Source organism: Homo sapiens, chromosome 12 (assembly GCF_000001405.40).
Source record: "Homo sapiens chromosome 12, GRCh38.p14 Primary Assembly".
Lineage (NCBI taxonomy): Eukaryota > Metazoa > Chordata > Mammalia > Primates > Hominidae > Homo > Homo sapiens.
The window spans coordinates 3,434,087-3,461,812 of NC_000012.12; the positions used below are offsets into that span (position 1 = coordinate 3,434,087).

Genomic DNA, 27,726 nt, shown 5'->3' on the forward strand with positions numbered 1-27,726 from the left:
CTTGGACACAACAATGAAATTATTTGTTGTGACCTGGAGAGGATGATGAGCTTTGTGAACTCGAGGTCTAGTCATTAACAAGAAAGCACCACCATTAAAACCCTTTAGGGACTGTTGAGAAATCCGGGGTAAGGTAGCCCAGACAGGAGAAGGCTGAAGCTGAGGTGCTCCAGAGAAACCCCTGCATTGAGCTCGTTTTTCTGAGGGCTACTAGGCACAAGCAAGAAAAGATAGTAGGAAAATGCAGATTTTGTCAATTCCCATTCACTTTGTAGTCTATCCACATGCACAAAACTAAAAGCAGGCCACCGTTCTCCTTGCTATCTAAAAAAGGTTTCTGGGCCACCTTTCCTCATTGCTATTTCCTGAACATACTAATTTTAACATAACCCTAAGCAACATGAAATTAGGGAGCAAGAGCTATTTAAACACACACCATAAAATGGCACAGCGTCCAGATCCCCTACAGATTCATCAGTGTCTTTTCCCTCTCACAATGGGACATGGCTGACAGAGGAAGTTACAGAAGGAGCCCCCCAGAAAATGGAGCTGATGACAGGGCTGTTTTCAAACACTGGTGCCAAGGGCAGGTGTTCCGTGTGTGTTGGGGGTTGGTGGGTGTGTGTTGGAGGGGAGATGGTGAACATGAATGAAGCCCCATCTTTTTTTTTTTTAAACTCAGATTCCAGCTGGGACTCTCACAGGGTGCAAGAGTTTACATGAGGCTGCAATGAAAAGGCAAGATTGATCGAAGGGCCTCAGGAGGAAGTGTTCCCAACACAATGCTTGACTGCTTGTGGCTCCATAGACGCCCTCACTCTCAGGCCAGACAAAGATCTCAGAGGTAGAGGAGTCCCCAGTGAAGTTTGCTTTGCTTTGCTCTTTTTTTTTTTTTTTTTTCAGAAGGAGTCTTGCTCTGTCTCTCAGGCTGGAGTGCAGGGGCGCGATCTCGGCTCATTTCAACCTCTACCTCCTGGGTTCAAGCGATTCTCCTGCCTGAGCCTCCCAAGTATCTGGGACTACAGGCACCCACCACCACACCCGGCTAATTTTTGTATTTTTAGTAGAGATGGGGTTTCACCATGTTGGCCAGGCTGGTCTCAAACTCCTGACCTCAGGTGATCCGCCCACCTCTGCCTCCCAAAGTGCTGGGATTATAGGCATGAGCCACCCGGTCCAGCCTGCTTTGCTCTTTACACGCTGCAGAAAGGGCGTTGAGCTGGTGAGTTGAAGGGTTTCTAGTCTTGGCTCTGCCTGTTCCCAGCTGTTTGAGTCTCTCTGCATATCAGACAGGGATAATTAGACCACCTTGCCTCCTTCTCAAGGGAAAGGGGAAGAGGTTCATGCAGTTCATCCTGCAGAAATGCTTTCAAAACTGCCAAGTGCCATATGGCTGTAGAAATGACAACGTCATGTTTTTTTTTTTCTTCTTTTTTTTTCTTTTTTTTTTTTTGAGAGGGAGTCTCCCTTTGTCACCCAGGCTGGAGTGCAGTGGCGCAGTGTTGGCTCACTGCAAGCTCCGCCTCCCGGGTTCATGCCATTCTCCTGCCTCAGCCTCCTGAGTAGCTGGGACTACAGGCACCTGCCACCACACCCAGCTAATTTTTGTATTTTTAGCAGACACAGGGTTTCACCATCTTAGCCAGGATGGTCTCGATCTCCTGACCTCATGACCCACCGGCCTCGGCCTCCCAGAGTGCTGGGATTACAGGCGCGAGCCACCACGCCCGGCCAACGTCGTGTGTTTTGAACCCCACCTTCTCTGAACCGCTCAGGCTTGTGGGTCCTTTCCTAGTCCTAGGATGGCGAATTAAGCTTGATATATTTCATCTATAGGATACCGAGGGATTGGTCCCTGATGACACCCCGTGTCCGCAAGGAAACTGAGGCTTGATGTCCAATTTATTCCTCCTCAGGAGGGGTGATTTTAGCGGGCAAGGGGAGATGGTATGTGTTCAGGATGGAGAGTTCACACCTGTGGTGAGGTTGGGCAAAGGCTTGGCTCTGGTTGCCCTGTGACTTTGAGTGAAGGTTATTGGGTGCCTCAGGCCCTGCTTACCTGCTTATAAAAAAGTCAAGTCGTCCCCTCCCGTTTGTGACCTTGTGAGGATGGTTAGGATCCAATCACACACTAAGTTCGTGTCAGTCCTGGAGAAATATTTAGTTTTTCCTGTTGCATAGCTCCGTCACCTTCGTTTTTGACACTCACTTGCTTTTCAAACCTCTTAATACAGTTACCACAGACACAGTGAGTGACTTTCAAGTTCATGCCTTTGAAAGGCAAAAGCTCCTCATCTTTTCAGCACCAGCAGCCCCAGGTAAGCCAGGGGCTGAGCTACTGTGATAAAATTCTGGTTTTATCCCTCAGAACCCAGGTAGCTGCTTTCTTTCTTTCTTTTTTCTTTTTTTTTATGAGCTGCTATTGTCAGCGTGCAGAAGATCTCTATTAATAGAGTAAAGATTTCATGCCACCAGTAATTTTTCTAAGAGGAGGCAGGAATGCGGCCGACTGGGCTCCACTGTCCCCTTTTGCGTTGAGAAGTTTCAGCTGGGTGCATGGCCATAATTGGGTTACGGGGCTGCTAATATGATTGTGCTGCCTGGAAATGCAAAAGCCATGAGTCGGTTAAACATCAAGGTGAAGTTATTTCCAGCGGATCGATTGCAGCATCTCCCCGACAGCATGGAGGCCTGGGTGATGGGAGAAGCGGATCCAGCAGGCAAGGCTGCGATTTCTCTCTACTGATGCTGTGGCCTCTGTGGCAGGGCAAGCACAGGCTCTGCATTCCTGCTTCTGGGCAGCCTGCCCAGCTGGTGGGGTGTCCCAGTGGATGGCGAGAGTTTGGTAGGTTCAATTTGATTCAGTTTGGCAAACATTTACTCACCTTCTACTGTGTCCAAAGTACACAAAATAAGGGTCCTCTTTTACCTTTTAAGTCACGAAAATGAAATATTCCAGTTCTGACAATTCAAATGACAGCTGGAAGGCCACCCCTTACCCCTTCAACCCCACCCTCCTGGGGTATCCAACACTGAGTTTGCACTGTAGGCTTCCACAAGTTTTTGATGCTTCTAGAAACTTATCACATACACAGGGCTTTTTATAAAAGAAAAATATATATTTATATATATCTTCTGCAACTTCATTTTTCCCCCTCAACCATATGACATAGAAAGTTTCTAGGTTAATACAAGTAAATCTAGCTGATTTATTTATAATAGCTACATACAGTTACATAGTATGGGTATTGTACAATTTAGTTTTATATATTTTATTTTATTTTAAACTTTTATTTTAGGCTCAGGGGTACATGTGCAGGTTTGTTATATAGGTACATTGTGCGTCCTAGGGGTTTGGTGTACAGATCACTTTATCCCCCGGGTAAAAAGCATAGTGCTCGATAAGCAGTTTTTGAATCCTCATCGTCCTCCCACCCTCTACCCTCAAGTAGGCCTCAGTGTCTGTTCCCTTCTTTGTGTCCATGTGGGTATCTTAAAATTTATGTAATCATTCCCTTTCTGGTGTGCATTCAGGCTATATATATATATATATATATATATATATTGCATTCAGCTACTCTTTCTGGGAGTGTAGTATACCTAACACGGGGGCTTTTGGTGTAGGCAGACCTGGGCCTGAATCCCAGCTTGACCACTGACTGTGTGACCTTAGGGATGTTCTCTAAGGTCGTCTAGCCTCAAGGCCTTCAACTGCAAAATGAGAGCAGCAGACAGCTCACGGTGTCACATGCGGTGATGGAATGAGGTGATGTACAGTGTGTGCTTCTAACGCAGGGCCTGACACACGGCGAGGGCCCAGTTAGCTCGAGCAGTAACTTGGGGTTTGGGAGTCTTCATCTTGCCAGAATTCTCACTGCTGTAATTGAAGAACAGGACTCTTATGGGGTCTGGGGTCCCAAGGAGGAAGTCCTTGGAGAAATGCAGATCCAGCTTGCCCTGAGTCTACGATTCCTGCAGAAAAAGGCACAGCCACCTCCGAGTGGGGAGCCTGGGGAAGTCCTGGGCAGCCTCAGAGCCTCCTGCTTCTGCTCTGTGAGCTGCCAGCGCACCTGTGAGGCATCTGGCTTATCCTAGATGGGGGCATTGTGTTCAGAGAGGTGGAGGGAGGCTGCTCTGGTGGAGAGGGTCTTATGCAAGGTCCTCCTGCAAGGACCGTCTCCCGTTTAGTCATTCGCGGTTTCAGGGACCCTGCTGTCGCCCATGTGGCTGGTGGGCTGCAGCCACTGCCACAACCTGTGTGAAGTGACCAGAGCCACTGGCAGTTCTCCTTAGGGCACGTGGGGTCGGGCCGTCAGCCTTGACAGCTTGCTGCCCTCCAGGGCAGAGTGTTCTTCTCATGACACCTGCTTTCATGGGCAGCTTCCCTTCCCGCCATGATATCAACAAGGTCTTTTGATAGAGCCTCTTCGTCCTAGGGTCCAGAAGTGGGGCGGGTAGTCCCAATGTCTTCTGTTTCTCCCACGAGGCCTCAGAGCCACCAGACAAATGCACTGATGACAAATTCCTTTGCTATCCCAGCAATCCTGGGTGTTTATGTGGATTAGGACCCCTCCGTCCATTTGCACAGGTTTACTTATCTATGCACTCAGAACTTTCTAGGTCAGTAGTTCGAATAGTGACCCAGACTGACTTCAGTCACTGGTTAGCAGTGAAATGAGAAAAATAAGAACAGAGTGGTGAGTTTCATAGAGCTAAGTATATTCTATTTATGGGGATGTTCTTTGCCCTTTGGGATTCAGGGATTACTTTCTTGGCATTAAATGTCCTTTTAAAATTGATGGTCATTTCTTTTTATTTTTTCTTTCCTTTTTTACAAGGGGAACATTTAACTTTCAACAATATTTTAATTTCTGTGATTTTCTGTTCAAGAACACTGTCCACATTTCCACTGGATGTTAAAGTTTTTCACATAGATTTGCAAGATGTATTTTAAAAACATTAACCCCTAAGGAAAATATTTGCAAGAAAATCACAGTTGGCCACATGCCAGTTAATTTTATGTATCATGCATACCTTTGGATGTGTAGTTTACATTTCATTTATATTTTTTGTGACCTAGATAATAAAAGCAGTAAAAATAAATCTAACTCTGTTCTATATTTTATCTCAACTTTGTATGACTTGTTTTCACTTAAACTTGAATAAGTCTTGAATTCATTGGCTCCCTCCACCCATCTGTTTTAATGTTCTTATTTGCACAGATGACACTATTCTAGGTGGTCTCTTTCTCTCCCTGTCTCTCCTGGGTACCGGTGGTCTCAACAGAATGGGCTGTCAGTCATGTTACACCTTGGGAAAGCTTGAGAGATGTCACTGAGACACCTGGCTCTATTGTCTATTGTTCTGTAACCGTTAAAAACAAACTAAACAAACGTATTTTTAAATGACTCCCTTATTTCTCTGAAACCTCACCCTCTCCCTTTCTCAGCTTACATCCCAGTGACTTTCCTGATGGACTCAGCAGCAGAAAAACTCCTTTGCTGGCTCACTGTTACAGTGTTCACTATACAATGTACACTTTTCAAGAGTCAGGAGTTCAATGTTATAACTTCCATTCACAGCAACTGCTGTTGTTACTATTTGACTCAGAGGGGTTCACATGAGAAACAAAGGTGGGGGTGTCTCTAGGGGGCTCAACTTTAACCTAACGGGAACCACAGAGTGCCTGTATTGTCTCTGCTGTGGATAAATTTGTTCTCATCCACCCATTTGCTCTACTGTGTGTGAAAGTGTTGTCTTAATTTTGGAGGATTTATTGTTTTCAGTGAGAATTAGGGGTTTCAAACAGGGCCAGAAATGGAGAGGGTGGTCGTGGCAGAAGTATGAGTCGGGCACCACGGTAGTGTGGAGAGAGCACTGGGTGTTAGGACCTCGGGCTCCAATCCTGACTGTAATCTTTAATTACGGGAACTGGAGCAGGCTGCCACTTCTCTGTGCGTCATCTTTCTGCATCTGGAAAACAAATATAATGGTCTTTACATGGGGGTCCCCACACAGACCATTAAGGTGCAAAATGAAGATATTAGACCTTGATAATTGATGATTATATTATCTTTTAAAAAACCTATCTAGGCCGGGCGTGGTGGCTCACGCCTGTAATCCCAGCACTTTGGGAGGTTGAGGCGGGTGGATCATGAGGTCAGGAGATCGAGACCATCCTGGCTAACATGGTGAAACCCTGTCTCTACTAAATATACAAAAAAAATTAGCCAGGCATGGCAGCACGCGGCTGTAGTCCCAGCTACTTGGGAGGCAGAGGCAGGAGAATTGCTAGAACCTGGGAGGCAGAGGTTGCAGTGAGCCAAGATCGCGCCACTGCACTCCAGCCTGGGAGACAGAGCAAGACTCCGTCAAAACAAACAAAACAAAACAAAACAAAACAAAACCTATTTAGATAGTGACTGGTCACTATCCTTTCCCCAGTAACATACATGTGATGTCAGACAGTCACATCACAGCTATGTTACTGGGGAAAGGAGGAGGTTCATTATACAAAGGTGTGTACAGTGGCCTCCTGACTAGTTTGTTAGCTTTCATATTGCAGTGTTCCACAATCTGCCAATGCTCCATTACATTGTATTATTTAGTTTGAACCAAAGAAACTCTCAAGAAGTGAATGAGTGCTCTAAAGATTCCTGCAAAGAAATGGGGAGGTTGAAGAACAGTAATTATACCAGGACAAGAAAACAGCAAGAAAATGGCAGAATCAACCCTCCTTCTGTGCCTGGAATAATCTTTCCATCAGTGTCATCATGAGCTAAAAACAATGACGATCTAATTGGATCAGACAAGAACTTGCCTTAAACCCCCCAATTCTCTAAAGATAGGGATTTACTTCCTCTTGTTAACAATACTCTTTGTTCGGTGTGCCAATTGCGCCCTTGTGAGTTATCTTTTTCAGCTCTGACAATCATTATTAGCAAGCATGAACATAAATGGAACTTTTGAATTGATTATCAAAAGTTTGATATATGGGATATTTGAATTGATGTATCTCAAAGTATAACTCCAGCATGTAAAAAATGATGCAAATTCTACCACATTGCTCTCACAAATAATATGATTACAGATAATATTTTAACGAGGGCAGACATTTTTATATAATTAATCACTACAGTTATGTATTAAGAACTTTTTTTTACTTTTGTAGCATCTCTTTAAAAGTATTTTGTTTGTTTCATAATGAATGTATTAGTAAGTACATACAGAAAAACCAAGGTCTTTTCATTCTTTCTGAGAGAGTGGGGAAGACATATTTCTGATGAAATAAACAACTCACGTTTCCTCAACGCTGCCAGGGCTCCCCTTTTCCAGAGGAGCCAACCTCCCCTTCCTTTGCACTTGCTGTTCCTTCTGTTTCCAAAATGCCTTTGCTTACTGCCCGCGTGGCCATCACAAGGCCACCTGTAACCTTTGGGCCTCATACCCTGTGTCTCCCCAGTGCCCAGGAAAGGCCTGGCACACAGAGGGTGCTCCGTGCTCCACATGCCTGCAGAGGAATTCATGAGGGAATTAATGATGAGGGACAAAGCCAGCACTGGCCATCCCTGAGGAGTCACTCACAAAGCACTGCTGACGCAGCAGATGGTTCCATTAGGAGAGTTCAGAACTCCTGTGGATGTCGAATATTCGTGCAATGTAATTGGGAATATTTAACAAATGTTTAGCTTTGGGTGACCACATGCCATTCCCCAAAATTCACCCTTAAACTACAAAGAGGACCTAAAAATTGTTTGAAAAGTACAATTCTCTAATGGAGATCATTTTCTGTAATGACATTTCAGTACATTTAGAAACAGGTAACAGAAATTGAAGTAAAAACAGCAACTGTGGAAATCACAAACCTCCCGTCAATAAACTCTGGATCAGAGAATCATCAGAACCCAAACCGAACAACTATCCAGAAAATACTAACCATGAAAACACAACACATCCAAACTCATAGCAAATGCTATTCAAAGAGGAAAATGCATAGCACCGAATTCTTAACATAACTAAAAATGAAAGTGTGAAAACGGATTGGGCAACTCAGCATCAAGCTAAAAAAGCTAGAAATGGGACAAAAAGTAACTCAAGGAAAGCAGAACAACGGAAGTAATATTGGAACAAGATGTTTTGCAACTCAGAAAATCCAAAGGCTTGATAAAGTCAAAGAGCTAACGATAGGGTGGCTGTTATTTTTTCTTTTGAACCGAAAAAACAGAAATACAAGATTGAAAATGAGAAAGAATAAAAAAAAAACAAAGGCATGAAGGACAATGACTTTTCAGAGGCTGCCTCCCAGAACTCTGTGTAGGGAGGCAGAGAAAAGGGGAGCTGGCTGGGGCAGCTCTGCCTGGGCTCTTGGTGACATCTTTCCTGATCTGTCACCCCATGTGAACAGCCCAGTCCCTCCTGGTGCGGCTGCCTGTTCTCCTGGGATGGGAAACAGAAGCTTCCCATCTATGCTGCAAAGAGAATGGGGTACCAGGGCTTGGCCTGGAACGGGTATGAGGCTAGGGAGCCCAGGCCAGGGCCACCGCTTGGATGCATTTCCTAAACTAGGTGATGGCCTTATTTGTATATTTTTCAGATAGAGTCTCACTCTGTCACCCAGGCTGGAGTGCAATGGCATGGTCTTGGCTCACTGCAACCTCCACCTCCCGGATTCAAGTGATTCTCCTGCGTCAGCCTCCTGAGTAGCTGGGACTACAGGTGTGTGCCACCACACCTGGCTAATTTTTGTATTTTTAATAGAGATGGGGTTTCACTATGTTGGCCAGGCTGGTCTCGAACTCCTGACCTGGTGATCCACCCGCCTCGGCCTCCCAAAGTGCTGGGATTATAGGTGTGAGCCACCACGCCCGGCCTTATTTGTACTTTTCTATGTCCATATCTATTAAGAAAGATAATTTTTAAAAAAGTAAAATGATAGATTCTGAATCTAAAGTCCCCTATAGGTCATTTTTTAAATGGAGGGACTTTCTTTCTGGAATTAACACCTATGTGTTTGTGGGATGAATGGATGAATGAATGAGTGATCCTAAGACAACGCTATTGTCTACTGCCCTTGAGGATGACATCTCACACTGTGGATGCTGCCGATGTTTTTCCCAGTGGAACTTAACACCCCAGTGAAAAAGCCACAGTTCCTGGCAGGTGTTATGGATCCAGTGATAGCATTAAACTTTATAAGCTATTAATAACCAAATTCACTATGTCCAAAAACAGAGTTCTTAATGACGGTGCCTCCCCCATCCCCCAAACCGGCTTTGTCTCTCCCCTCCACCCGATTAATGGCCCCACCATTTGCCCAGTGTTGCTTAAGCCAAAACCTTAGAGGTTCATCCTTGATTCCCTTCTCCTGTCTAACTCACATCCAATTCACCATAAAGTCTTGCCAAGAGACCTCTAAAGCATTTTCCGAATGGATACACTTCCCTCCCTTTCCACTACGTCCAGCCTGGCCAAAGCCACCATCATTTCCTGCCTGGAGCACTACAACAGCCTCCTACTCAGTCTTCATGCCTGTGCTCTCTCCCCCTTCAGATGTTCTCCTTAGACCAGCTGGAGTTATCTTTATGAAGTAAATCGATCACATCATCCTCCTGGTTTAAACCTTCCAAGGCTTGTCAATCAGATTTGCAATGAAATTGAGACCCCTCTCCCTAGAGGCTGCACAGGCCTGGACCCTGCCAACCTTATCAGCACCTGGCCTTGCCAACCACCTCCAACCCCTGGACCCCATATGGTTCAGCCACGATTGCTTTTGTGTCTGTCCCCCAAGTTTGTTCCTGCCTTAGAGACTTGCATTAGCTCTCTCTCCTGTAATCCATGCCCCTCAAAAGACAAGGCATTTCTTTCGTCTAAGTTCGGCCTAAACATCATTGCTTTAAACTCGATGTAAGGCTCTCCCTGCCATTCACTCTATCACATCTCCCTGTTATATTTTCATTATATTATGTACAACACCATCTAAAAGTCTTCATGCATTTCTGTATATGTATAGAAATGGCCAGTGATGAGAGGTTCATTGTCCTATCTCCTCTTAGCCCAGAACCCAGACAAGGACTTGGGTTAATTTCCTTTCTCATCAGATGTGCTGTGGAGCTTTTTCCAGCGGTTCTGGATCAAGAAAAGTCCTCGTCCCAGATGCTTAGTAAACACTCCTGACCTGCATGCAGTGCCCTCCTGGCCTAGTGTTGACTTCATCTGACTCTGCCGCCTTGCTTTTAGTACTGTTTTGGCCTGCAGACCTCTAAGGCAAGCAGGAAGAAGGGGAAGGACACTTAGCCCAGGTAACAGCCTGGAGACCACTGTCCTAAGCAGCCCCAGAGCTAGACTTGCTAGGACAAAATCCTAGAGGGGCAAGGAGCTTTCCTCCGAAGTCACCCACTTTTAGTCTTTTTGCAAAACCTGACACTCTGGTCATATTCTGTTTCTTCTAGGCATGTTTTGTGATCAGCAAATGTTGAGCGAAGGTCTTGGTTAGAGGGGAAATTTAGAGGTCAAGTCTATATGACAGGTGAAGGGAAAGGCATCCAGGTCATGCCAGTTAGCACAATTTCTATTTAAGGAGTTAGGCTGGCACATTTAAGAGAATCTGTACAGGCCACTGGGCATCGTGGAGCAAGAGAGTCAAACAAGGAGAAAACCCAGCAGTTCCGTGGGAGATTGCCTTTGCCCAATGGCAAGAGTGGAAGGGACGAATATGGAGGGCCAAGCTGAGGAAAAGCTGCATTGGGGCTGCCCTGCACATGCCCCTTCGGGTGCCTGGCAGCAAACCCCACCCGGGGCTATGGCGTTGCAAGGAAAAGACAGTGGGTAGTGGAAGCCCATGGTCATCTGGAGCTCGACCACCTGTGATCCCCTCGTTCCCTTTAGGGAAGGTTAGGGGTGATGGGGAAGGGAGGGCTTTGTGCCAGAGAAAGGAATGACTGGTAGGAAGGGGAGATTTTGAGTGAAGCATAAAAGGTTATTTGGAGCTGTGGCTTGGAGACAGCCTCTAGTATGGAGACCGCTTGCTCCTGCTTTTAATCAGACCAAGTGTGTAAATAATGAATTCAGAGTTACATCCACATTGCCTCATGGGTTCTCCTCATTGTCGTCACTATTTAAACAAAACTAGCATGTAGAGAGGGAAATGCTAACCCTCCTGGTGCCCAGGGAAAGGTGGCCGGGGAGGAGTGATCCAGGTAGCCTGCAGCTTAGCCACTGCCTCCCCTGGGAGGGCTGGGCCTGCCCAGAGTGTGGTGTAATAGTGAGTTGATGCCATAACCTTTGTGTTTGATTAGTCGCCAAACACAGGTAATTCACTTTATTGATTTAAAGTTGCTTATAAAATGCCATATCAGCTACTGCTAATTAAATGAGTTAATATTTGTAAAACTTAGCCCAGTGCCTGGCACTCTTAGCTATTCCTCAAACAGCAATCGTTACTACTGCAGCTATGGTGTTTCAGCCACTGACTTCAGGTAGCCTGTGTAGACAAATAGCTCTCGGTGTTACTCCACAGGGATCAGGGCAATGCTGATCAGCTCCATTTGCTTGCCTGATGGGCTTAAAAGGCATGAAGAGAAAAGGTTGAAGGAACGGCTCTGCACACAGTCATTTGTTCTGACTAAATATTTCCGACGCTGGAGATTCTGAAAAGGAAATACTCTCCAGTGGCCCCACATACACATGCATGTGTCGTATAATGTGTGCAAGGTGCACATCTGTTGGTGAAACAGGAACCTACTTGTTTGCAATGGTGGAGTAAACACCAAGGCGATATTTACTGCGGTCAGCTGTGAGACCATCAGACTACTTAGGAGAGCCGTCCTGAGCCACCTACCTCCTGGCCCCATTGGTAGGGGGTACCCATATGATTCCACTGGGACTCAGAGACTAGATTGATAAGCCTTCACTATCAGGCCTCCTACAGCATCCTGGATCAGTGGAGAGGGACAGCCAAGGCCCTCCTGGGGAAATGTGGCCCACTCCCCCTCCCCACCCTCAGTTCCTTGGGCACATGCACTGCCCTCCTTGGCCCATAGATGTTCCTAAAGCCCATGAATGACACTAGACCACCAGATTACTGGCAAGAGGGGTTTAAGGCCAGGTCCCTAAGAATGAAATCCTTTATGTTAGGTGGCCTGTTGCTGAATTATTTTGCTTGGAAGGACAGACTCACCTCCTGTCTCTCCAGTCAAATCCTTATTCCTTTCCTGCTTGCCCCCAGTCTGCTCTGAGAGTCCCATCTCAACCTGCTCCTGTCTGTAGAATCCTCTCGACCTGCAGACTACTGTGAGCCGGCTCTCTCTGTGGGCACCGCCTCGGCCCCCAGCCTGACTGCCTGCAGAATCTTGCTCCAGCTGCAGCTGCGCTCCCTCAGCCACATGCTGTTCTGGTAAACACCAGCCGAGGTTGCCACCAACCTGCACAGGCCTTCTGAGGGACCCAAGTCCCTGGTCTGGGGACTTGTCTAGCCCTCTTTAATTCCAGGACTTTCCATCAGACTTCTATTGGAAACGGAGTCCCAGCTGTGTGTCATATAGGTTTCTTCTGCCATCCACCAATGCCTGTTGGAAAGGCCAACTTCTCCCTGGGGATCCCTGGGCAAATGCCGGAGTGTCTTTTGGGTCAGTTCAACCTTTGATGGAAGCTGTTGGTGGGAATAGGTGGGCACGGATTACCATCAGAAAATGTTCCCTTTCTCTTGCCTCTCCTCTTTTATTTGATGTACCACGCGGGGCCTCCCTTTGCCCCATGTGCTTTAGAAGAGCATACTGCTTTTTCAGAATGGTGTTGATCCGCTGCTTCCAAAATAAACATTCAACCACCTTGACTGACTCCTTTGCTGGGAAAAACAATTCCACATGTGTGGTATGAACTAACCATACATCCCCTTTATGAACCATGTGAAGTGAAGTCCTGGGGTCCATGCTGAGGAGCCCTGAGCGGGTGGGCTTTCCTCCTCCTCCCTTAGCTCCCAGGGACCTGTTCACCCACAGTGATCACTCTGGGCAGCCCTCGTGAGCCAGAGACAGAACCCGTGCAAAGACCGAAAAGCACCTGGAAGGGGAAGGGGTGGCAGGAGCATTTCCCTTTTTATCGAGATTCAAGAGCAGAGTCTCATTTTGCTTTCCAAAACAGGCGCTTGTATCTGTGCACCGAAGTTATGAAGCAGCTATTCTCTTCCAAAAACAGAGTAGATGTTTGATGTCAGCAGTGCTGCTCTTTCTTGATTTTCAAACAATCTTAATTTTATTGGGGACATTACATTTGTTTTGTTGGGGGTGCACTCCAGTCTGTTTTTTGTTTTCTCTATCTGCTTTCCTGTCTTCTTCAAATACTCCATGCTGGTTCTCACCTCTGGGCCTTTGCTTATGCTGTTCCCACAGCTGAGGCGCCCCCCTCTCCCGCAGTGCCTCTCGCACTCAGTCACCAAATTCCCACTCATCCTTCAAGACGCAGCACAGACATCTCTTTCTCAGGAAGCCTGTCTTGTCCCCTTGCCTCATCTCTAACCCAAGCCCCTGCCCACTGACCTCCTGTACCCGTGCATCCACCCCGCTTCTCCCTACCACATGTCAAGCAAAATCTCAGTTGTCTCTCTCTCCTTCTAGACAATAGCTTTTTTGGAATAATGAGGAATTTCAGTCATGATTACATTCCTTGTAGCCATCACAAACCCTGACACATCATCAAGGCTTAAATTGGTGTTCACCCCTGCACTGACCTCTTTACATTGCCTCATTTTAGACAATTCTTTTCTTAAGGAGAAAACTACATGTACTTGGGCACACCTGCCATGCTTCTGATTTTTATAGGGACGGATGTGCAGGGAGGCTTAGCACACTGACTTTTCTAATCTCTATGGTCGATTGTCTACATCTAGAGTTAAACGTTTTGGCCTCAGACTCCCTTTACAATTTTTTGTGAGACAGGTTCTTGCTCTGTTGCCCAAGCTGGAGTGCAGTGGTGTGATCGATCATATCTCACTTTATCCTTTAACTCCTGGGCTCAAGCGATCCTCCAGCCTCAGCCTCCTGAGCAGCTAGGACTACAGGCATGTGGCACTATGCCTGACTGATTTTTTCTTTTTTAAATTTTTTGTAGAGGTGGGGTCTTGTTATGTTGCCCAGGCTGGTCTCGAACTCCCAGCCTCAAGTGATCCTCCTGCCTTGGCCTCCCAAAGTGTTGGAATTACAGGCGTGAGCCACCATGCTTGGTTCCCCTTTATAATCTTAAGAATCATTGAGGGCACCAAAGAGCTTTTGTTTATGTGGGTTATATCTATTGATAGTTATTGTATTACAAATTTAAATAAGGAAAATTTAAAAATTAGTTCATTTAAAATAATAAGCTAACATACATATGTTCAAAACAAAAAATTTAGTGAGAAGAATGGCATTATTTTGTATCAGAATTCTCAACCTTGGAACTACTGAAATTTTGGACTAGATACTTCTTTGTTGTAGGAAGTTCTCCAGTGCATTGTAGACGGTGAGCAGCATCACTGGCCTCTACCCACTAGATGATAGTATCCCACTTTGATAACCAAAAAGTCGCCTGATATCCCCTGGACAGATGGAGAGAGAGAAAAACATCACCCTAAATGAAAACCACCGTTTTTTTATTTTGCAAATCTTTTTAAAAATTTTATTTTATTTTATTTTAAGTTCCAGGATACATGTGTAGGACATGCAGGTTTGTTACCTAGGTAAACATGTGCCATGGTGGTTTGCTGCATCTATCAACCCATCACCTAGGTATTAAGCCCCACATGCATTAGCTATTTATCCTGATGCACTCCTTCTCCTTGCACCCCCATAGGCCCCAGTGTGTGCTATTCCCCTCCCTGTGTCCATGTGTTCTCATTGTTCAGCTCCCACTTATAAGTGAGAACACGCGGTGTTTGGTTTTCTGTTCCTGCATTAGTTTGCTGAGGATAATGGCTTCCAGCTGCATCCATGTCCCTGCAAAGGACATTATCTCATTCCTTTTTATGGCTGCATAGTATTCTGTGGTGTATATGTACCACATTCTCTTTATGCAACCTATCACTAGTGGGCATTTGTGTTGATTCCATGTCTTTGCTATTGTGAATGGTGCTGCAGTGAATATACGTGTGCATGTATCTTTATAATAGAATGATTTATATTCCTTTGGGTATATACCCAGTAATGGGATTGCTGGTCAAATGGTATTTCTGGTTCTGGGTCTTTGAGGAATTGCCATACTGTCTTCCACAATGGTTGAATGAATTTACACTTCCACCAACAGTGTAAAAAAGTTCCTATTTCTCCACAGCCTCACCAGCATCTGTAGTTTCTTGACTTTTTAATAATTTCCATTCTGACTGGCTTGAGGTGGTATCTCATTGTGGTTTTGATTTGCATTTCTCTAATGATTAGTGATGTTGAGCTTTTTTTCATATGTTTGTTGGCTGCATAAATGTCTTCTTTTGAGAAATGTCTGTTCATGTCCTTTGGCCACTTTTTAATGGGGTTGTTTTTTTCTTGTAAATTTGTTTAAATTCCTTGTAGAATCTGGATATTAGACCTTGTCAGATGGATAGATTGCAAACTTTTTCTCCCATTCTTTATGAGATCTGTTCACTCTGATGATAGTTTCTTTTGCTGTGCAGAAGCTCTTTAATTAGATCCCACTTGTCAATTTTTGCTTTTGTTGCAATTGCTTTTGACGTTTTTGTCATGAAATCTTTGCCCCTGCCTGTGTCCTGAATGGTGTTGCCTAGATTTTCTTTTAGCCTTTTTATAGTTTTGGGTTTTACATTTAAGTGTTTAATCCATCTTGAGTTAATTGTTGTATAAGGTGTAAGGAAGGGGTCCAGTTTCAATTTTCTGCTTATGGCTAGCCAGTTCTCCCATCACCATTTATTAAATAGGAAATCCTTTTAAATGTCTTGATTAATAGAAGAGAGCTGGATTCTTATATCTCCTTTTGCATTTATTCTGTTGCCATATCTTGTTTTGGTTGAGGTGGATGGTGAAATTACAGCCTTACATAGATAGATAGTTGAAAGCGTATCTTAATAGCTTTTAAAGATAATAATAGTGGATATTCTTCTTTGATACTACACCAAAACTCAAAAAGTGGTGGTTTCTTAAATGTTTGTTGTAATGTGGAATCTGAAACCACATCAATACACTTTTCTTACTCTGTTACATTAAAATGTATTGGTTTATCTTGGATGTTGAATGGATCTTTTACCCATATGAGATTTTGTAACATCGTATACTAGTCATTTGGAAAATATTTATGCTGTTCTTTTAAATGTTGACAAGTCTCATTATACAAGAGAAATTACATTTGTTAACCTTAGAAATGTTTCTAAGTACTGAAAAGCTCTCAAGGACACAATAGCAGATGCAGGTTTTCCAAAATTCCAATTTCCTCTTGAAAGCTCAGGTTGTATCATTGGTCAAATTACTATCAGTTTTCTTTCTTGAAGTGAATGGCTCACTTAATTTTGAGAAAATGGCTATCAAACACCAAAGTCTATATAACCATAGATCATAAATTGTTAATTCAAGTAAAAATAATGTTCCATGTAAAAAGTGGCTAGTTTAGCCTGCAACTCAATTCCACACTGCTTTTCCTCAAGACAACTATCATGCTTTGATATGTTTTATGTGAACTTCTCTTATTGTCACAGAGACTATTTTAAAAAGTGTACTCCAAAGTTGAGATTTAATATAATTAAAATGTTTACTGTTTCATCAAGGACATTTCCAAGTGAAATTGGCTTTCTTTTGCTTCTGCAAGCACTCAGCTGTAAACACTATGATGACTAGAAACACAAGTACTGCCTAGATTTGTGCTAAGGCAAAGCAGTTTCACCACCACTGCTCTTGCAACTTTAGTGCAATGTCAACAAGGGACAAAGGCAAATCACATCTTAGTTTTATTATGAAAGCAGTTTTGATCTTGCTGACACCCCCCCCCCCCCCCCCCCCCCGCCGAAAGGTTTTGGGACCCCAGGGATGCCTAGAACACATTGCTGGTCTACGCCAATGTTGTTTTACTTTGATGGTGAACTAAAACTGCCACAAGAGTTAGAAATGAGGGCACAGGAGCTCTATTTATGTGATTGGCTCACAAACTGCCAAGGAAGTAGTCATGGATTCAAGATTTCAGGCTGGAAGGGCCCTTTGAGATGCTTTAATCTAGCTTCTTCAGCTTACAGATGAGCATATTTAGCCCAGAAAGCGGGAGTGACACACCCAAAGTCTTGCAGCTAGTTGTGGAAGAACAAGATCTAGAACTCAGGTCTTCTGATTCCCAGTGCAGTGCTCTACCACGTCCTGCTGTTTGCAAGCACTCTGTAGAGCGTCTAACACACGTTCATGTGCAGAAAAGATCCTTTTTATGCTCAGCTTGAACAATGTTTTATGATTGTTGGCATATTTGCTCTTGTTTTCTAAGTTGGCTTTTGCCCAGCCAACATTCAGGAGGCTGCCTATTTTCTCTGGTTGCTTGACCTACAAGGACTCAAACTGGCCATGAGGCATACATGGGTGCTTAGCTGTGCTTTCGTGCTCCAACAGTTAGACATCCTATAGAGTTGGTTAGCCGAGAGAGCTATGCATTTTCCCACCCGCTTAGGCCGCAGTGCTGTTGATGATGACGTGAGGACTCTACTTTTCCACCTACATGTTGATTCACTTAAAGGAAACCTCTGGAACATTTTCCATGGGAACTGCCTTAACTGGAGTGTCTTGACGTTGCTAATTTCCTTGATTCCAGTCATATCCTTGATCCATTGTGCCTCATGGTGTTTCAGAAGAAAACTGTGGCCATTTTTCTCTGCCTGGCAGTTGAGGAGTAGAGAAGATAGATGCGGCTTCTCCACATAAATAAGCTGTACAACACCCAGTCAAAAACTATTAGTGACTGTTAGGATGAAAAACGCCTCCCATGGCCTGCAATTTTCTTTAGGAAGAAAGTGCCTGGCCTGCTTGGCTTCCAGACAGCTGAGCTGAGAAAATGGGTACCCTCTTAGTTGCTTTCAAAGACCACAAAGATGGACACACAGAGGGGAAGAACACACACTGGGGCCTCCTTGAGGACAGAGGGTGGGAAGAGGGAGAGGACCAGGAAAAATAACTAATGGGTACTGGGCTTAATACCTGGGTGAGGAAATAAGTGTACAACAAACCCTTGTGATACAAGTTTACCTATTTAAGAAACCTGCACATGTGCCCCTGAACCTAAATTAAACACACACACACACACACATACACACACACACACCCCACAAGGAGACCACTTACTGGCAACATGCAAGAGCACAGGAAACTTTAGAAGTCTTCAATGGAACTTGAGAATTATTTCTAGCCACATTTTTCATACATTTTCCCACCAGATAGATCCGAGAATTAATGTCCTAAGCGGTCTCCTCGGAAGCTGCCCTGGGCTGGGGGATCACCTGTCCAGGGGCAGAACCTGGGTTAGGTGGCCTCTTTTGGTCCCTTCCAGGTCTCTAATCCCCTTGTGGTAACTAACAGCCTCACATCTCAGGATTGTCACCTGCAGGGCAGTTGTATAGCCCAGAAGCACGTTGCTTTATCCTAGGAACAGGGTCTGCTGTCTTCTGGGCCTCTTCCCAGGACTTCTGCCTCACCAGGTTGGGCTTCTCAGGTCAGGCCTCACCAGATGGTGAAGACCTGGACTGGGGAACGTTCAAGGCAGAGGAGAGGTAAAGCCACAGCTTAGGTCCTGCTGGGAAGTGCTGGCTGCCAGGAGGCTGCTGTGGAAATAACTGTAGGCCTGAGAAGTCAGCATCTTTAAGGGCGAGTGGGGTGGTGAGAGGACAATTCGGCAAGTCCCATTGACCGACAGGCAGAGTGGCAGCTTACTTGGCATTTCAAACAAACAAAAAATCCACACAAAGAAAACATTCCTGCCTATTCAGAGCTTACAGCCTAAGAGGGGAGGGAAGCTAAACCCTGGACTGGGATCACATGAAAGGAGATGAAATGAGGGATGCACAGAGGACACTGCACGGGGAATCAGGTAGGCTGGAGAGGAGAGGGGTCAGTCCGGGAGACCGTCCTGAAGAGTGGCCTGTGATGGAAAAGGCCAGCAAGAACCATGGAAGCTGCTGAAAGGGTGCAGGGAAGCCACGGTTCCTTCCCTCCCCACGCCCCTCGCTCACTCTAGTCCTGGCTCCCTTTACACAGGCCTAATATGACCAAACAGCACCCTTAGGACTCCTGGGCCTCGGGCCCCAGTGTTGAGTCTGGCAGCAGATCCCCAAGGGGTAGAGTTTGCACTGGTGGCTGGGTGTCGCCGTCAGCAGGTGAGGGAGCGCATGGGGAATGCAGATTCCCAGGCCAGCCCTGCCAAGTCTGAGTGAGTCCCCTGGAGGCTACTGCTGCTGGGACTGTGCGGTGCCGTAGGACATGATTTCTGACCTCAGAGGCCCTGCTTTCTCCTGGGGAAGCCAGACGCTGCATTCCGCATGCCATCGTGACCTTGAAGTAGGGCTGAGAATGAGGTGTCTGGGTCAGGAACTGGTGAGCGCGGTCAGGGGACACCCTTAGGAGAGGAGCTTGCCCTTCACAGCCAGGGCAAATGCTGGGGCGCAGCCATGCTGGCTGTCTCCTCGTCTGTTCTGCCCACACATCTCCTGCGGCACCCTGTGGTCTGTGTCCTGACGTGGCCCGACTGTGGACCCCCTTGTCCTCCTGCCCGCTGTGTCTATTTCTCAGCTCCTGCTATGCTAGGTCTGGGCTTCCGACGCCGGCCCTGCTCCGGCGATTGAAAATGACTGCAGCCTCGGGTGCAGCCTTGTCCTCAGCGTTCAACACGGGGTGCCTCGTGTGCTCCTCATGGCACATTTACCATGGGCTTTTTCAGGTTTCGAGAAGCAGCGACGTGCTCGGGTCACCTCAGGGCGGAGGGTTTGCAGGAAGGCCAGGCACAGCAATGCGGGCGTCAGCCTAGCCCAGCCTCTAGAGAACTGGAGCACCACGGGGCTCAAAGGGGCCTGGGGCCAAACACGGAGGCCCATCTGACTTGGCTCTGTCTCTGCTCCTAGCCCCTGCTGTCTCTTCACTCTCCTGCAGCTTAATGCCGCCCCCGCCCACCCCGCGCCCTGTGTCTTTTGGCTTCTGTTTTGCCTTCTCCTGAAGCCGCTTCTTCTGACTCCCTGACGGGGAGCCTGCGGATGGATTCCCAGGACCTGGTTCCTCAAGGCGGCTGCTGTTGGCTCAGACATCCCCGGCCAGGGTGTTGGTGCCACAGGGAGCAAGAGGGCAGGCAGCCACCTGGGCTCCCCTAAGAATCACTCACTCCAGAGGGAGAATATTTAAGGTTTGAATCACTGACGTTAATCAGAGGCCACGTGATGTAAAAGCACTCTAGGGGAGGGGGGTGTCTAGGAAGGAAGGGAAACTAAACCACAAAAGAAGCCCGTCATGCCCAGCCCTGGAGGAGAGAGGAGGAGCAGGGGCCAGGGAAGACGGGGCGGGCAAGAGCGGCATGTGGCATTTCTCAAGCGGGAGACCAAGTTCAAAGGGAGCACAGCACTCCCAGTGAAACCACCCCTATAAACTTCATAAAATGAATCAGGACAAAAGGAAGGGGAGGAGTGAAACCAAACCCAGCTTGCAGCGCACTTCGTGTTCACCGCGGGTCGGCCTGCGCTCCCACCTGCTTCCTCGTGTTGTTTGCTGCCTATTGACCTAGAATCCCACAGACCCCGCTACAAGGTTATAGTCACCCTAAGGGTCCTACAGATAACAACTGGAGCAGTACGAAATGTTAAGTCTTCCCTTTGAGATAGTCCTTCAGGTCCTACATACCTGTGAAATTACCACGTCAGCTGGTCTAAAGGACCCCATAGGAGCTGACGCACCAAAGAATGCAGTTTCTACATTCTGGTGAATTCATCCGCCTTACCCCAACCAATCAACAGCTCCAATTCTCCAGTCCCTTGTCCTCCACAGTCCCCTTAAAGACTCCAGCCCAGAAATCCTGGGGGAGATGGAGTTTGGGGGCTCCTCCTATCTCTTAGCTCAGTGCCCTGTGACCATTAAACTCTTTCTCTGCTGCAGCCCTAACTGGTAACTGGTCTGTTACTGTGCGGTGGGCATAACTGGTCTGTTACTGTGTAACTGGTCTGCTCCTGTGCAGTGGGCATACGAACCTGTTGGTCCTATAACACCAGTCCCTCACGAAAGCACCAGATTAATTTTCGCACCCTTTGTGGCTGCAGATTGGAAGTGGAGGATGAGGGTGAGGGGAGGTGCCTTCTAGCCTGGGCTTGGGGTGTGGAAGGCAAGAGGGGAAGAGAACCCACAGACAGGATGGAGGGAGGGGTGAGCTGCTTCAGGCGTCGATGCTGCCCTCACTTGTGCTCTGCCCTCCTTCTCCCTAAGGGGAATTGACTCACGCCCTTTCCCCTTGCCACCCTGAACAAAGAAATGCCACTCACTGCCCTGTGATGCAAGCTCTTCACACATGCATGGGAGTAGGTGTGTGCATGGAGGAGGCACCACGCTAGCCTGCTCTCTGGGCTCGGTCCTGGGAGACCTGGCCAAGGACCTTCACCTCCGAACCTTCTCCCGGAATTGGAGGGTCAGCGGGGGGTGGGGTTGAGCCTGCTACATTGAATTTGGCTTGGTCCTCTTGGCTCTCTTAATTGCTCTTTGACAAATAGCCAGAAAGTGGAGGGAAGGCAGGTGGACTTTATTTCCATTTTCGAAGTGTAAGAACTTGAAGCTCCAAGAGGTCAGGTGACATGTCTGTGCCAGTGCCCCCTACCACACCCCTCAGTGACACCATAGGTGGGACAGGGCCGCGTGATGCCGTGAAAACAGCACGTTCCTTTGACCACGTGGTCCTAGTTCTATATCTATCTCTGTCTCTTTGCTAGCTGTGTGACATAGGGCAAGTCCCTTAACTTCTCTGAGCCTGCGTTCTCATCTGTAAAATGAGGATAGTAAGTCACACCTCACAGGGAAACTGAGGCTGACGCAGGAAGACAAATACAAACTATTTAGCCCAACTCCTGGCCATGAGCTAGGTGCTAAGAGTGCTTTTCTTCCTCACTTAAACCACATTTCCGATGACCACATCCAAGTACGCCAGCGCTGGCACACCAAGCGCCACCTTTGAGCGGGAAATGGCAGCCTCCCCTTGCCTGCAGTTCTTCCGGCCTCACTGTTCTCCATGGCCCAAACTACAGTTCCTCTGGGGGTGGTTCATTTACAAAGTGGAGCTATTAAATAAATGTTCACGACATTTTTCTGGATCGTGGATCCCCTTCCCGAGGGAAAAACCCTAGCACCCACATATCCATCACCCACACTGTTTTCGACAGAATTTCAAGGAACTCCCAGAAACTCTGAAGCCACAAGCAAAACTCCTCTCCCAGGTGGGAGGGCAGGACCCACGAGCACACATTCGGCATCACGAGCGATCTGTTGTGCAGCCCGATCATCCCCCAATTCACCAACAGCCTTCTCCTCGCGAAACGCCCGGGACCATCCGTCTGAATTACCCACAGGGTGAGGATGAAAGGCGAGGGAATGAGTGGACAGTGGGGAAGCTGACCTTAAGCGGGAGGGTGCAGGGGTGAGCTAGTTTGGCCTGGAGGGGAGGGCAGTGAGGAACCCGTGAGAAGGGGCCAACGCCCGGAGCAGCCACCGTTTCTTACACCCTTGACTAAGATTGAACAAGAAAAAAAAAATGTCACCAAACAAAGAGAATCGAACCCCTCTAGCCAGGAAAGCAGATCAACAACAGAACAGCACCTGGGGCTCTCTTAAAGGCTTTAAACACAGAGGACAGGTGCGTCTTTTCTTGCTGTGGCTGACGTCCTAGCCGTGTTAAGGGGGTGGGGGCTCTGGCCTCGCTGACCTCGCCTGCCATGGCAACTGTAAGGCTGGAGAAATAGAGTTCCAGCGCCACCACTGGGACTATTGTGCCACCACTGATTTGAGTGAATAGAAGAGTGCTGTTGTTTTGTTTTGTTTTGTTTTGTTTGCAGAGGAGGCATCTCCTAAAGGGGAGGTGCTGTTTGGTGTCTGCAGCAGCAGTGTCTGAGTGAGCTCTGTGAGGGCAGGCTTGGTGTCCCTGAGCACTGCTGGGCTCTCAGAGCTGTGGAAGGGCAGAGGAAGGCCTATCTAGGCTGCCAGGCTTAGCCACAAGCTCTCAGTTCTCAACTGCTGTTCTGGGAGAATGTCCTGACTTTGCTAAGCATATTTTTTTTTCTGTCTTTTATAGACAGGGTCTCACTTTGTCACCCAGACTGGACTGCAGTAGAGGGATCATAGCTCACTGTAACCTTGAACTCTTGACTCAAGTGGTCCTCCTACCTCAGCCTCCTGAGTAACTGGGGCTACAGGTGCATGCGCCACCACATCCAGCTAATTTTTAATTTTTGTAGAGACGGGGTCTCCCTCTGTTTCCTAGGCTGGTCTCAAACTCCTGGCTTCAAGCAATCCTCCCACCTCAGCCTCGCAAAGAGCTGGGATTGCAGGCGTGAGCCACCATGGCTGACCTATGCACATCTTTGTATCTATAGTACCTTGACCTTGAGCTCATCCTTGCTGCATGAAAAACATTTTTTAAATATAGTTTCGAACCACACATAGTTGAAAATTTGGAGAATATAGAATACCATTATAGCGAAGAATAATGTAGGAAACCAATTCAAAAAAGAAGAAAATAAAGATCTGCAACCCCCCATCTGGATTTGGACATGATTAATTTTGCTTTAGGTCTTTCCAGTTTGCTTTTTTTTTTTTTTTTTTTTTTTTAAGACAGCGTTCTGTTGCCAGGCTGGAGTGCAGTGGTGTGATCTCAGCTCACTGCAACCTCCACCTCCCGGGTTCAAGTGATTCCCCTGCCTCAGCCTCCTGAGTAGCTGGGACTATAGGCATGTGCCATCATGCCCAGCTAATTTTTGTATTTTTAGTAGAGACGGGGTTTCACCACGTTGGCCAGGCTGGTCTCGATTTCTTGACCTCGTGATCCGCCCGCCTCGGCCTCCCAAAGCGCTGGGATTACAGGCGTGAGCATGCCTGGCCCAGTTTGCCTTTTGTTCCCCGCTATTCAGCAGTGTTTTAATCGTGTATCCTCCAACTTACTGGGGCGTGGCGCTCTGTGACTCAGTTTTCATGGTTAGAAAATATGATGGTCACATGCCAACAAAATTCTCCAACTGCTTTCATGAGGTTTCCTCATCCCTGTGGCCAGGAGGGCTGCATATCACTCCATCCTTGGCGGTGAGGACCAGAGAGCCAGGTGCTGATGGGCACAGAGCTGTGCAGCAGGTCCATGGGCCCCAGGGCTCCTCACTCTTAACCCAAGTGGGTGCCAGAGAAAACTCCCACCTTGACGAGAGGAGGCACAGACACCAGCCTGCCAGGGCCACGCACCACAGGTCAGACCCATCCAGGATCTCCTGTGAGCCGTGCTTGTTCCTCTGTGACACAAAATCAGAACAGCAGCCAGTCCCAAAAGAGTTTACATCTTGCTTTTTGAGCCAATCAGACCTTTGAACAAAACTTTACCACAGTATATCTGTCCTGTTCCACTTCAGTTTGGAGAGCTGCCCTGACCTTTCTTAATGAAATCAGACCCTCCTCTTCTTTGGCAAATAATAAACTCAATGTCTGCTCTAACTGGCTTTGGTGCACTTTGTGTTTTTTCTGTGGCATGGGTGTCACCCCAGTCATCACTGTGGCCAGTGGATAGACACTCCCTTCCGAGGGCTGTCACTAAGCCCCTCCTTCCTGTCTGTTCACCTGGGGAGGTTTTCCCAAGCCCCCCACTTCTCAGGGGGAGGCTGCTTTCTTTACCAAGTTGCTCAGAGGTCTCCACTCACAATTCAGTGGCCTCATCGGGTTGGCACTTGTCCACTTGCTTTTCTAGCTGGGACATTCTCTTCTCTGAAACTGTGGATATGACGAGTGGGCAGAGGAGTTTGTTCCTGTTAAGGTGTTGCTGATGGTGGGGCAATGGTTCCACCTCCCATTGTTCATCCAGATTCCTTCATCCCCCAAACTCTTCTGGATTTAACCTAATCTTGGAAATCAGAGCCCTGTTTGGCTAACTAGAAAAATCAGAACTTCTGGGTAAAGTTACCAGACTTTCACTATGGGGAGGAAACAGCTCCAGACTTGAGCTTGCCACTGTCCTTCCTTGACCCCTCTTGGATGGAATAGATGGGCCCTGTCCCCCTTCCCACCTCCCCAGTCTTCCCTCATGGTGAGAAGAGCTTTTTTTCTGCCTATTAGCCACGATTTGAAGCCAACATTGAAAAAGTTCCGATTTCCTCGATCGAGGGGAAGCTCCTGTCAGGGCATCCCAGCCTCACAAACTGAGTGCCTCTCCCAGCCCTGTGTAGCAAATCCAGTGTGCCCTCCTGAAAGCCTCCTTTGACTGCAAGTGCAGGCATGATTTTTTCTCTTACACCATCGGAGTCAGGGTCTCTGGAATCCTACCTGCAAATTTATGCAAACACTATGCCAAAATTTTTGACAAATTTGGCAAAGAAAGGTGTTTTACAGGTGAAGTGCAGCTAACATCTAAAGCGGAACAGAGGGCTGTTTGGGGTGGGGGCCCAGGAGAGAGTTGAAGCAGAGGAGCAGGGAGAAGGGCAGGGGGTTGGTTGGTGTCTGCAGCAGTGATGGAAGACGCTGGAGCCTTCCTCCTCCCCTGTCTTCCAAGGTGGGAGCAGAAAGTGTCAGGGACTCCCTGTCTCTTTCTCATGGTGGAGGCATCTTTAGAGCTGGGGTGAGGACGGAATCTCTTAGTCCCTCTTCAGATGCTCCAGGCACTACATCTGGTGCTGAGAATGAGGTTGAGAGGCCCCCGTGCCCTCCGACCCTCCTATGCCATTACGTTCACGTCAAACCCTACCACACCGTCATTCACTTCACATGAAAGCATTTTAATTGTCCCCTGGGAGGTTAAGCTGTGTGGATCTTACTTTTCTATGATCCCTCTCTATCAAAGAGCCATTTACCCTTGAAGTCTTAACATTGGAAGTTTCTTTACTGATCATCTGGTCCAATCCCTCTGTTTTACACATAAGCGAACTAAGACACGAAGTGGCTTACCCCAGTTCTCAGACCTGGACCCTAAACCAGTCACACCCACTTTTCCAGGTGGCATTACTTCTCGGACCACAGGCCCCCAGCAATCTAGGTGCCCCTTGGGATATCATGGGAGCAAAACATGGTTGTCTTCTTTTAAAGAGTCAAGAGTAACTTTGTGAATACACGTCCCTGTCATTCCTAGGAAATTCTGTGAGATCATGGACATCACCGGCTTCTAAGTTTGCTTTTCAGAAGACCAGGCAGCTGGGCAGACTGCAGTGGTTACTTGTAGACTTGTAAACAACTTCTGGGCTGTCCAAAACTGCCTAGTTTTGTGATTGTTTTACCTTTTGGCTGTTCATAGGCAATGATGAAGTTGGAGGTTTGCGGGAGGAAGAGAAAGAAGGGAATGGCAGAATGGGATGTGGGGGTAATAGAGATACATTTATTGAGCACTAATTATATCCCTGACATTAGGCTTAGTGTATTACCCAATATTATATCCCCATTTTACAGAGCGAGGAAATTAAGGTTAAGTAATTTGCCCAAGTCTCACAGCTAGCAAGTAAGAAGCTATAGGTTTCAAACTTGGGGCTGTCGGATTTCAGAGCCCAAGCTTGTCACCACCATGCTCGTGGGGCAATGGTCAAGAGAAAGCCAGGTTACCAGGAAACTTCTGAATGGCCACAGTGAAGAATGACCGTCTTACATCCTGCTGATTAGATGACCAGTCTTGAAGAGATTTTGAGCATCACAGTGGAAGAGAAGACAGAAGAGGAGGGCAGTTTCCTGTGTTGCTCCGGACTTACCTCAAGTTGCCCACATTTTTCTGGGGCTGACATATCTTTTTCCAGTAGGTGTGGCCTGAGGGTGTCAGGGCTTTACTTTTGTGCTGGTGCAGGCAGTTTTCAGGCTCATATAAACACCCACTCAGCTGTTTATTTATTCATCCAACAAGCATTTCTTAGATACCTCCTCTGTCAATTCTTGAGCTGGTAGGTAAGCATGGTCCCTGACCCAACACATGTAGTAGCTCAGGTTCAGAGATGCACAACCTAATTCTAGCAAAGCTCTTTGTAGATTATCTGGGGCAGCTCTTACAACCCTTGATCTTTCCCACTTCGCAGCTATTCCTGTAGCAGCAGGAAGCTCTACTTTGGAGGAATGGAGAAGAGATGGAAAAGTGAGGCTATGAGCTGGCCTGAAGATTTGGAAAAGGATGTGGAAACCAGAGACTAACAAGAGGATTTGGTGGTGTGTGTGATGTCCCTCTCCCTGCTGTGCCATTTCCTTGGGCACTTAAGTTGGGCTCATGATTTAAGGGCCAACTGCTCATGTAAAAATCCATCCCAGCATCCTCAGCTCAAATAACTGCCACTTGCCACTTGTCTGCCCCAGCGGAATTAACGGAAGCTGCCAACAGCCCTGCTGACCTCATTGGATGGAACTGTGTCCTCAGCAGACACAAGCTCCTTCTTCTGAGCGAGACTCCCTCCTATCTCAGAGCAGGAAGTCCTCTCAAGAGGAGTCCAAGCTTCAGACAGAGAAGCAGGGGCCATTCGTTTATTTACTCTGCTCAGTGTTAACCTAAAAGGAAGAGGCTGAGACACAAAGTATAATTTAAAGAGTTTACTTGAACCAAAACGAGGACAACTGCCTG

The 27,726-nt window shown here is 47.0% G+C and overlaps 1 protein-coding gene and 1 long non-coding RNA gene across 2 annotated transcripts in view; one reads left to right on the forward strand and one right to left on the reverse strand.

The window, feature by feature from the left end:
• The window catches only part of PRMT8 (protein arginine methyltransferase 8), a 212,625-nt gene that overhangs the window by 52,738 nt on the left and 132,161 nt on the right, over positions 1–27,726 (forward strand). The gene's annotated exons all lie outside the window — the stretch shown is intronic.
• On the reverse strand, positions 5,759–27,404 carry LOC124902862 (uncharacterized). Its single transcript, XR_007063166.1, has 2 exons — positions 26,876–27,404; positions 5,759–5,973 (listed from the first exon to the last, which is right to left on the reverse strand). It is a non-coding gene; the product is annotated as an uncharacterized LOC124902862 (long non-coding RNA).